The sequence below is a fragment of the Homo sapiens genome, chromosome 3 (genome assembly GCF_000001405.40).
Source record: "Homo sapiens chromosome 3, GRCh38.p14 Primary Assembly".
Classification (NCBI taxonomy): Eukaryota; Metazoa; Chordata; class Mammalia; order Primates; family Hominidae; genus Homo; species Homo sapiens.
The window spans coordinates 17,099,819-17,112,314 of NC_000003.12; the positions used below are offsets into that span (position 1 = coordinate 17,099,819).

Below are 12,496 nucleotides of genomic sequence, written 5' to 3' on the forward strand. Positions count from 1 at the left end.
CCTTCATTTCGTTATGTACCCAGTAGTCATTCAGGAGCAGGTTGTTCAGTTTCCATGCAGTTGAGCGGTTTTGAGTGAGATTCTTCATCCTGAGTTCTAGTTTGATTGCACTGTGGTCTGAGAGATAGTTTGTTATAATTTCTGTTCTTTTACATTTGCTGAGGAGAGCTTTACTTCCAAGTATGTGGTCAATTTTGGAAAAGGTGTGGTGTGGCGCTGAAAAAAATGTATATTCTGTTGATTTGGGGTGGAGAGTTCTGTAGATGTCTATTAGGTCCGCTTGGTGCAGAGCTGAGTTCAATTCCTGGGTAACTTCTGCACTTTTAACTCCCAACCACCTGCTACTCTACTTGCCACATCAGCAGTCTCTAGATAGCATTAATATTCTCTTCTGTGACTATAAACTCTCCGTGCTTCTGTAAGATTGGTTCTAAAATTGGAAAGTAATAACCAGCCTTTATAATATTATAATTGCATAAGAATTAATTTATTACACAAATAGTGTGGCCAAACCTGCAAAAAAGGAGACATTTGTGATCCTATGCCACCAAACTTGTGCCATTCAAAAGTGAATATGTTAACTTCCACCTTCAGCCAAGGTAGAGAACAGATTTTCCACATAAAACAACCCAAAGCAGAAAATATATATATGAAACAATAGTTGTCATAACCCCGGACCCTTAGCATAGAAAGACAGTGATGACTTAGAAAAGGGAAACAAATGGGATGAGCTCTATGATTGCTCCAGCTTGTAACTTTGAGTTTCCAGGCCATGATGCAAGAAGGAGAAAGCCAGGCAGAGCCTAGAAGACCCCCTGAATTGAAGCAATGGAGGTGAGATACCTGGGAGACCAAGGTGGCTAGAGTTTTCAGGACAGAGCAACCAAGAGGAGAGAGCCACACAAAGAGCAGGCATCTGTAGAGTGCCCCTCTGGCATCCAGCAGAGTACTGGTCACCACACCTGTGAGAACACTACCTGAGGCAAAGCACAGAACCACTCAAAATAACTGGAGCAACAACCAACCTTTTAACAATTATCAACCCTCATGGAAGTCATTTTATACATTTTCATAATCATTCTCCCCCATGAAATTTTTATGCCACAGATATTAATGTATATGTGATACATTATGTATATGATATATATATGATACAAATATTATGTATAACTTTGCTTTATGCATACACAGTTAAATTTTTTCCCTAAAAACTAAATTTTGTCCCTTTGGGAGCAATATTGCCATCTTTGAAAATGTATGGATTAGAGAGAACAGTACACAGTACATAGGGCTAGGATAGTGTCAATCAGAGATCCTCATACTTCAGAAGGGTCTTGTCTCAAGTAGGTAATAATTGGCCCCAAAATATACACTGCTCTGGTCCCACCTAAAACATTTTAAAGCAAGACCTGAAAAGATCAAACTGTTTTCAAGTAACTGAACTGCTTGCCTGATCAGGACCCAAAATGGTAAAATTCACAAATGTTTCCAAAAGAGAATTACTAAGCATGCAAAGAAGCAGAAAAATATCACCTATAATGAGGAGAAAATTAAAACCAAGCCAAAACTGGCATAGATGTCAGAATTAGTAGACAGGAGTATTAAACCCTTACTATAGCTGTATTTCTTATGTTCAAAAAGTTAAGTAGTGACATGGATAATATTTCTTAAAAGGCCCAAATCAAACCTCTAGGGATAAAAATTTCAATATGTGAGATAAAAAATACAATGGATGGGATTAATGGTGGAGTAGATTTTGCAAAAGAAAAGATTAAACCTGAAGACATAGCAGTAATACAAAGTATCCAAAATAAAGCACAGACATAAAAGAAAACATAAAACAAAAAATGAACAACCATCACCAAAAGGAAGACAAGAAGGAAGGAAAGAAGGAAGAGAAGACCAGAAAACAAATAACACAATGGCAGGCATAAATTGCTACTTATCAATAATTACATTTAATGCAAAATGTACTAAACTTTCCAATCAAAAGACATAGAGTGGCTGAATGGATGAAAAAATAAGACACAATGATCTGTTGCCTACCAGAAACATGCTTCACCTATAAAAATACATACAGACTGAAAATAAAGAGATGGAAAATGATATTTCATGCCAATGAAAACCAAAAAAAAGAGCAGGAGAAGCTATACTTACATCAAAAAAGTAGATTTCACGACAAAAACTGTAAGACGAGGAAAAGAAGGTCATTATACAATGACAAAAGGGTCACTTCAACAAAAGGATATAGATAGTGTAAATATATACACACCCAACACTGGAGCAGCAAGCTGTATAAAGCAAATATTATTAGAGCTAAAGACAGAGATAGACCCCAATATGATAGCTGGAGACTTTAACACCCCATTGTCAGCATTGGCCAGATCTCCCAGACAAAAAATCAACAAAGAAACATCAGACTTACTCTATACGATAGAACAAATGGACCTAATAGATATTTACAGAACATTTCATCAAATAGCTGCAAAATTTTTCTCCCCAGACCATGGATCATTCTCAAGGATAGACCATATGTTGGGTCACAAAACAAATTTAAAATATTCAAAAACATTTAAAGAATATCAAGCATTCTTCTCTGACTACAAGGGACTAAAACTACAAATCAATAGCAAGAGGAATTTTGGAAACTACACAAACATATGGAAATTAAATAATAGGCTCCTGAATGACCAGTGGGTCAATTAAGAAATTAAGAAGGAAATTGAAAAATTTCTTAAAACAAATGATAATGGAAACACAACATACCAAAACCTATGGGATACAGTAAAAGTAATACTAAAAGGGAAAGTTATAGCTGTAAATGCCTACATCAAAAAGGAAGAAAAACTTCAAATAAATGACCTAATGATTCATCTTAAAGAACTAGAAAAGCAAGGGCAAACCAAATCCAGAATTAGAAGAAAAAAAGAGGTTTTAGTAAGAGCAGAAATAAATGAAATTGAAATAAAGAAAAAAACACAAAAGATCAATGAAACAAAAAGCTGGCTTTTGAAAAGATAACAAAATTGCCAACCTTTAGCCAGACTAAGAAAAAAGAAAGCAGGCCAAAATAAATAAAATCAAAGATGAAAAAGGAGACATTGCAACTGCTACTACAGAACCTCAAAGGGTCATTAGTGGCTACAATGAACAACTATATGCCCATAAATTGGAAAATCTAGAAGAAATGGATACATTCCTAGACACGTACAACCTACCAAGATTTAACCAAGAAGAAATCCAAAACCTGAACAGAACAATAACAAGTAACAAGGTTGAAGCTATAATAAAAAGTGTCCTACTAAAAAAAGTCTGGGACACGGTGACTTCACTTTTGAATTCTACCAAACATTTAAAGAAGAATTAATACCAACCCTACTCAAACTATTCCGAAAAATAGAAGAGGAGGGAATACTTCAAAACACATTCTATAAGGCCAGTATTAACCTGATACTAAAACCAGACAAAGAGAGTTCAAAAAAAGAAAACTACAGGCCAATATCTGTGATAAATATTGATGCAATAATTCTCAACAAAATACTAGCAAACCAAATTCAGCAACACATTAGAAAGATCATTCATCATAACCAAGTGGAATTTATCCATGTGTACAGGAATGGCTCAACATATGCAAATTAATCAATGTGATACAGCCTATCAACCGAATGAAGGACAAAAACCAAATGATCATTTCAGCTGATGCTGAAAAAGCATTTGATAAAGCTTAATATTCCATCATGATAAAAAAAAAATCCCTCAAAAAACTGGGTATAGAAGGAATATCCCTGAACATAATAAAAGCCATATATTACAGAGCCATGTATTACAGTATGGCACTATCTGTTAGTGCCAAAAAATGGAAAAGTATTCCTTATTCATGGATTGGAAGAATCAATATTGTTAAAATTTCCATATGGCCCAGAGCAATCTATAGATATGATGCAATCCCTATCAAAATACTACTGACATTCTTCACAGAAATTGAAAAAGAAAATTGTAACACTTATATGAAACCACAAAAGACCACCCAGAATAGCTAAAGCTATTCTGAGCAAAAAGAACAAAACTGGAGGAATCACATTACCTGACTTCAAATTATACTATGGAGTTATAGTAACCAAAGCAGCATGGTACTGGCATAAAAGCAGACACATAGACGAACAGAACAGAATACAGAACACAGAAACAAATCCACACACCTACAGTGAACTCATTTTCGACAAAGGTGGTAAAAAAAACATACACTGGGGAAAACACTGTCTCTTTAATAAATGGTGCTGGAAAAACTGGATATCCACATGCAGAAGAATAAAACTAGATCCTTATCTCTTGCCATATACAAAAATAAAATCAAAATGGATTAAAGACTTAAATCTAAGGCCTCAAACTATGAAACTACTACAAGAAAACATTAGGGAAACTCTTCAGGATATTGGTCTGGGCAAAAATTTCTTGAGTAATACCCACTAGCACAGGCAACCAAAGCAAAAATAGACAAATGGGATCACATCAAGTTAAAAAGCTTCTGCACAGCAAACAATCAACAAAATAAAGAGAAAACCCACAGAATGGGAGAAAATGTTTGCAAACTATCCACCTGACAAGGGACTAATAACCAGAATATATAAGCAGCTTAAACAGGTCTGTAGAAAAAAATCTAATAATCTAATTTTAAAATGGGCAAAAGATTTGAATAGACATTTCTCAAAAGAAGACATACAAATGGCAAACAGGTATATGATAAATTTCTCAGCATCATTGATCATCAGAGAAATGCAAATCAAAACTACAATTAGATACCATCTCACCCCAGTTAAAGGTGTGAGGATAAAGGACTTCATCCAATATCAGGCAATAACAAATGTTGACAAGGATGTGGAGAAAAAGGAACCCTCATACACTGTTGGTGGGAATGTAAATTAGTACAACCACTCTGGAGAACAGTTTGGAGGTCCCTCAAAGAACTAAAAGCTGAGCTACCATATGATCCAGCAATTCTACTGCTAAGTATATACCCAAAAGAAAGGAAATCAGTATAACAAAGAGATTTCTGCACTCCCATGTTTATTGCAGCACTGTTCACAAAAGCCAAGATTTGGAAGCAACCTAACTGTCCATCAACAGATGTATGGATAAAGAAAATGTGGTACTTATACACAACGGTATACTATTCAGCCACAAAAAAAATGAAACTCTGTCATCTGCAATAACATGGGTGGAACTGGAGGTCATTATGTTAAGTGAAACAAGCAAGGCACAGAAAGACAAACATCACATGTTCTCACTTATTTGTGGGATATAAAAAAATCAAAATAATTGAACTCTTGGACATAGAGTGTAGAAAGATGGTTACCAGAGGCTGGGAAGGGTAGTGAGTGGGTGTTGGGGAAGGTGGGGATGGTTAATAGTACCAAAACTAGACAAAAGGAATAACATCTAGTATTTGATAGCACAGCAGGGGACAATAATAATAATTTAAATGTACATTTCAAAGTAACTAAAAGAGTATAATTAGATTGTTTGTAACACAAAGGATAAATGCTTGAGGGGATGGATACCCTATTTTTCATGATATGATTATTATGCATTGCATACCTGTACTAAAATATCTCATGTACTCCATAAATTTCACCTACTAGGTGCCCACAAAAATTTAAAATAATTTTTTTTAATGAACAGAGTATCAGTGAGCTGTGGGACAACTTCAAGTGGCCTCATGTAAATATAATTGGAGTATCTGAAGGACAGGAGTGAGCAGGACAGAAAAAAAAAGTTGAAAAAATAATATCCAAACATTTTTCACATTTGGTGTGCATTGTAAACCCACAGATTCAGGAAGCTCAACAAACCCCAGGAATAAGATGCATGAAGAAAACTACACCATGGCACATACCATAGTTAAATTGTTTAAAACCCACAGTGATAAAGAAAAAAATTGTACAGAAAGCTAGAGAAAAAAAGACATTTTATATAGAAGAGCAAAAATAAGGATGGTAGCAGTTTGTCTTCAGAAACAATGTAAGTGAGAAGGTAGTGAAGCAATATCTTCAATGTACTGACTCTAAGAAAAAAATTCTTCCTAGATTTCTATACCAGCAAAAAATGTCTTTTAAGAGTAGAAAAAAATTATTTTGTATGTACAGAAGCTGAAGCAATTCATTACCAACAGACTCACATTAAAAGAACAGTTTTTTAAAGTTCTTAGGAAGTAGAAAATGAAACCAGATAGAAATATTGATCTGCTCACACAAAAAAGAAGAGTACTTGAAATGGTAACTACATATATATTAAATAAATGCATTTTAATTTTTTTCTTATTGTTTAAATCTCTTTAAAAGATAAGTGACAATGTGGGCTTTATATGCATACATAGTATGACAACAATTGTACGAAGTCCTAGAGGGGAGAAATGAAAGTATATTATTGCAGGGTTTTTATGCTATGTATGAAATGGTATAATTGCACTTAATGTAGGCTACTATATGTTAATGATGTAGACTATAAGCCCTGGGAAACTACTAAAATAACAAAATAAAGAGTTATAGCTAATAAGCCAACAAAGAAGTAAAATAGAATAAAAAAGTACTTAAAGCAGAAAAAGAGGGCAAAAAAGGAGCAAAGAGTACATGGGACAAATAGAAAAATAGAAAACAACTGGCATTATTAAATACAAAAACTTCATAAATTTGATTTTAAAATAAACTTCTGCCCTTCAAATGACACTATTAAGACAAAACTCAAGCCACAGACTGGGAGAAAGTATTTGCAACACTATATTTGATAAAGGACTTGTTTCCAGAATATTTAAAGAACTCCTACAACTCAACAGTCAGAAAGCAAACCGATATGATAAAAATCATAGATAAACAACAATTGACATAAAATATAACAATAGCCAAAAAGCACTTGAAAAGATACTCAACTGTGTAAGTCATTAGGGAAATGGAAATTAAAACCACAACATATGTCACTCCACACTCACTAATATGGATAAAATTTTAAAGACTGATGATATGGTTTGGCTGTGTCCCCACCCAAATCTCATCTTGAATTTCCACGTGTTGTGGGAGGGACCTGGCGGGAGGTAATTGAATCATGGGGGCAGGTCTTTCCCATGCTGTTCTCATGATAGCAAATAAGTCTCACAAGATCTGATGGTTTTATAAGGTGGAATTTTCCTGCACAAGCTCTCTGCCCGCTGCCATCCATGTAAGACGTGATTTGTTCCTCCTTGCCTTTGCCATGATTGCAAGGCCTCGTCAGCCACTTGGAACTGTGAGTCTGTTAAACTTCTTTCCTTTGTAAATTGCCCAGTCTCCAGTATGTCTTTATCAGCAGTGTGAAAATGGACTAATAAAACTGACAATACTAAATGTTGGTGAAAATATAATTCTTATACATCACTGTTGGAAAGAAAATGGTACAACCACTTGGAAAATAGTTGGACATTCTTAAATATTGTTAAACATACACCTGACCTATGAACTAACAATTATAATTCCAACTTATATCTACTGTAAGACTCACACAAGAATATTTATAGTAGCTTTATTCATATTCATACTATTCAAAAACCTTAAACTACCCAAATGACCATCAATATGAAAATGGAAAAACGAATTGCGCTATATTCAGGAAATAGATGTATGTTCAACTATAAGAATAAGGTGGTACCTGCAACAAACATGAGTGACTCTATAAAACCTCTTGCTGAGTGAATAACTCCGGACACTACAGACTACATACTGCATAGTTCCATTAGTTCTAGAATAGGCAAAACTAAGAGATAGTAATAGAAATCATGTGAGTGGTTTCCTAGAGTGGGGTGGGTTGTAGTGGGAGTTGACCCCAAAGGGAACTTTCCTGAGTGATTTACATGTAATATAGGTGTAATAAGTCAAAATCATGATTGGTGTAGTATACCTGGTTGCAACTAGTATACAACTAGTACAAATAGTACAACTAGTGTACCTAGTTATAGTTACAACGTACATGACATCTGTCAAAACTCATTAAATTGTACATTTGATATCTTTACATTTTATTGTATGTAAATTATACCTTAATAAAGCTGATTTTATATCTTAAAAAGAAAAATATACCAGAAAAATTAGGAGAAAAACAATTGGAAGTAGGAGTGGAGTGGGGAATATACTATATTATTATTACTATTATTTCATGCTTTTCCCTTATCAGTAAAATTTTCCTTGTTTCTTAATCATATAATGTGTTACAACTTATTATTATTATTATTTGAGACAGAGTGTCTCTCTGTCACCCAGGCTGGAGCGCAGTGGTGTGATCTCTGCTCACTGCAACCTCTGCCTCCCAGGTTCACGATTCTTGTGCCTCAGACTCTGGAACAGCTGAAATTACAGGCAGCCACCACCATGCCCAGCTAATTTTTGTACTTCTTGTAGAGACAAGGTTTTGCCATGTTGCCCAGGCTGGTCTCGAACACGTGAGCTCAAGAAATCCACCCACCTCGGTGTCCCAAAGTGCTGGGATTTCAGGCGTGAGCCACCACACCTAGCCTACAGCTTATTTTCTTTTGAAGATGTTTTCTTCTCGGAACCTTCTGATTTCTTGTTTTAATTTGGACAAATTACTTGTTAGGCATGCTGCACAGGTTTAATTCTGGGATTCACTTTTAGTTATTTCCATGCTGACTTAATTTGAGTATATATTGCTCTTTCTTGCATTCTATTTTCTTCTTTCTTTTTTTTTTCTGAGTATACTTGTGAGTCATTCTTTCATAAAGTGTCTATAGAAGGCAGATTTTCTGAGTCTTTCCACATTCAAAACTTATTTACTGTTCTCATATATGATTGAAAGTTTGGCTGGGTATCTAATTCTAGGCTCAAAACCATTTACTCTGGGAACCTTGAAGTATCACTACCTTTTTTTTTCTAGAACTAATATTGCTTATAAGAAAACAGGTAAGTTTCTGATCTTGTTCCTTTGTAAGCTGTTTCATTTTCCTGGGAACTTTTTAGATTTATTCTTGCTTTTTTGCTGTTCTAAAATGTTGTGATGATACATATAAGTTTATTCATTCATTCAACAAATAGTTATTATAGATATTGATTGCTAGGAACCCTAGAGGCTGGGAATGAAGCAATAAGATTCCTGTTCTTATGGAGGTTACATTCTAATGGGGGAAATAGACAATAAAATATGAACAAATAAGCAGATGAGAAACCTTCAGATATCGGTAAGTACCAAGAAAATACAACAGGAGAATGGAATAGGTCATAGTAAACTGGTGCAGGATGAGAGGGTGCTTTGGATGAGGTGATTAGGGGTGGGGACCCTCTCTAAAGTGACACTGAAGCAGAGCTCTGAATAACGAGAAGGAGCCATGTAGCAATCTGGGAAGGAGCACTAGTAGAAAGGGAACATGACCCCAAAGGACCAAGGCAGGAACGGACTGGATGTCTGGAAACAGAAAATCCCTGGGTGACTGGATAATTTGTCATCAATTCTTGAAAGGGGTAGGAGATGAGGTCTGAGAGCCAAAAAGGAGATAGACCCTGCAGAACCTGCAAGGAACTCGGATCTTATTCTGGATAAACTAGGGGGGAATATGATCTGATTTCCACTTTAAAGATCACTCTCACTGTTGTATGGAAAATGGGATTATAAAGGGTCTAGAGGAGGAACAGGAAGATCTGTTAGGAAGCTATTGCTGTCAACCAGGCAAGCAATGATGGTGGTTTGGAATAGAGTGTGGCCGTAGAGATGGGGAGATGTTATCAGATGTGGATCTTAATTGGATGCAGGAGGAAAGGAAATGAAATCAAGGATGGCTCCTTGGTTTTCACCTGAGCAACTAGGTGAACAGCATGCCATTCAATGAAAGCAGCAAGACCTGGGGGAAAGCAGGTTTGGAGAAAAACATTAAAAGTGTTAGGACCTATCTAAATTGATGTGCCAGATAGACTGATGGAGCCAGTGTATATGTCAAATGGTCTAGGCAGCGAGACGTCAGGGACACAGGTTTGAGAGTCTTCAGTGTGTCAGTGATATTTAATGTCCTGCTTGATCACTGATAGGCCCTTTTATTATGAAATCTTGTGTGTCAACTCTGGAAATATTTTTCTACTGTTTATTTAATTATAATCTCTCTATTCTGCCTATTCTTTCTCTCCAGAATTCCTATTACAGCCAGCCTTTTGTATCTATGGAATCCACATTTGTAGGTTCTACTAACAGCGGATAGAAAATATTTTTGTAAAAAAGATGTACCTCTAATTAATGGTGTCCAGCAAAAAAAAAATTTAAAAATAAAAATAAATAAAAAATAAATGAACAAAGGATGGTTGTGTCTGCACTGAAAGCATACAGACCTTTTTTTCTTGTCATTATTTCCTAAACAATAGAGTATAACAACTATTTACATAGCTTTTACATTGTATTAGGTATTATAAGTAATCTAGTGATTAAAGGATACTAGAAGATGTGCATAGATTGTATGCAAATATGACACCATTTTATATACAGAACTTGAGCATTCATGGATTTTTGATGTCTGCGGGGGTCCTGGAACCAATCCCCAACAGACACCAGGGGACGATTGTAGATGGATGTTAAACCTCCTAGATCAATCCACAGGGTCCCTTAACTGTCCTTCATTTTATTCATCTCTTGTGCTTTTGCTCCATGTCTTAGGAGACTTTCTTGATGCTTTCTTGTTCAGTTCTTAGATTGATTCATATGATGCTGGCTTTAATATTTCCTGTTTTTAAGACCTTTTTTCTGGTGATTACTTCTTTTTATGGGAACTATTCCTGTTTTGTGACTGTAATTAGGACCCATTTAGATCCTTCTAAATTTTTTTCTCTCCATTATTACCTCTGTGGACAGTTGTTCTGTGTGTTTGTCTTGGTCCTCCTCTCTTTTACGCTAATATTTTTCATAGTGTGTCAGGACGTCCATAGAACTCTGTTCCTTTTTATGAATGCAGAACTGCTTGCTCGATGCTCATGGCTGGGAAGGTTTTCGTGCAAGTGTGTTGTCCTCTGGGTCTTTCCCCTGAATTGGGGAACTGGTGTAGAGGATAGAATTTGTCTACTCTCAGGCCTCATCATAGGGGCACAAGCAGGAAATGGCAGTCAAGCTGACATCTCGAGTGCTTTTAAATTTAGTGGAGTATGAATTCTTCTGAGAAATCACATCATTATTATTTAAATAAGGAATAATGAGTAACAGTTACCCCTCCCTGAAAACTCATGCCCAGGTAAATATCACTAGCTGATAAAGTCCTTCACAAGGCATTGACCCATCAGTGATGTCTGCCATGGGTGTGGGAGGGAAGGCTCATAGCCAGAGGCTTTCACACATCCTTCCTTCTTCAGCCCACACACCTGTCCAAGTCACAGTTCACACCCAGCCTGGAGGAGGCGGATTGGGCTGGGGCCTATATGACAGTCATTTCAACCAGTGGTAACTCATAGCTAAATTTATGTAAACTTACCTTACGTCTGCTGCTGGAATGCTGACAAGAGGGCGGCCCTGAGAGAGAATTAGTTTGAGCATGAAGTAGCCACATGCATTATCCTTAAAATGCATGTGTATGGTTAACTGAGTGATTATATTCCAAGGTTGATGCAAGTTATTTGGGGAATATCTATACCTCTGTTACCTCCACAGGCATGGTTCGTCAGAGTTCACTGCATGTAACCCTATTTTAATCGCGGATAAGACAGACAAATATATTGGCCCTGCAAAGAAAACCAAACAGGATGTTATCGTTAGTAACTTGGAAGGACAGATTTAAATATTTTAAGACTTTAGTAAAAGGGGACATGTATCAACAGATTTTACATCCACAAGGATAAATTACAGCTATAAACACAGGAAGGACAAACAGTCCAAACACAAGATGGGCCAGGGCTGATTCACCCAGGGTTAGCAGAGCACCCACTGCAGAAGACGTCAGTGCATCACAATCGTCATGAGTCAGTGAGGCTAAATGTCAATCAGAACTATTCAAAGAGAAGTGTAATGGGGGATAAATGATGATTATCATCATTGGGAAAGGGAAATGGGCAAGAGTTGTACACAGAAATGCTTCCAGGAGCCAGGCTGGTGATGTAAATGTGTGAAACTGATGAGAGTACAATCAGGAGCGGTGAGGACTGTGGCCAACTGAAGAATAAATGTCACTCTGAAGACATTCTCATTAAGATTACACACACACACACACACACACACACACACACACACACACACACACTGGCCAGGCAGAAAGAAAGAAATATCTCAGAGCCCACAGTATCTTTGGCATTGTGAGCGATGAGCAGCCCCTAGCTCCATAACTGTTGCATTAATGATTGTGGCAGTTGTCCACTATTGGGGTACTTGTGAACCGTAATATCACTTAGAGTTACCACACCACTGTTGTGTTGCGGGGCTGTGTTTTTACTTTCTCACAAAGGAGAAAGGGGCAGTCCTTAAAATTTCTGTTCATGGAGAAACATACCCGATCATATAA

The 12,496-nt window shown here is 36.4% G+C and overlaps 1 annotated feature.

Moving 5' to 3' along the window:
• Positions 10,883–10,952: an enhancer, noted in NCBI's record as "active region_19563". NCBI's record gives its function as "activates an Ori minimal core promoter by ATAC-STARR-seq in GM12878 lymphoblastoid cells {active_cell/tissue: GM12878}" and the evidence as "EXISTENCE:reporter gene assay evidence [ECO:0000049][PMID:35858748]".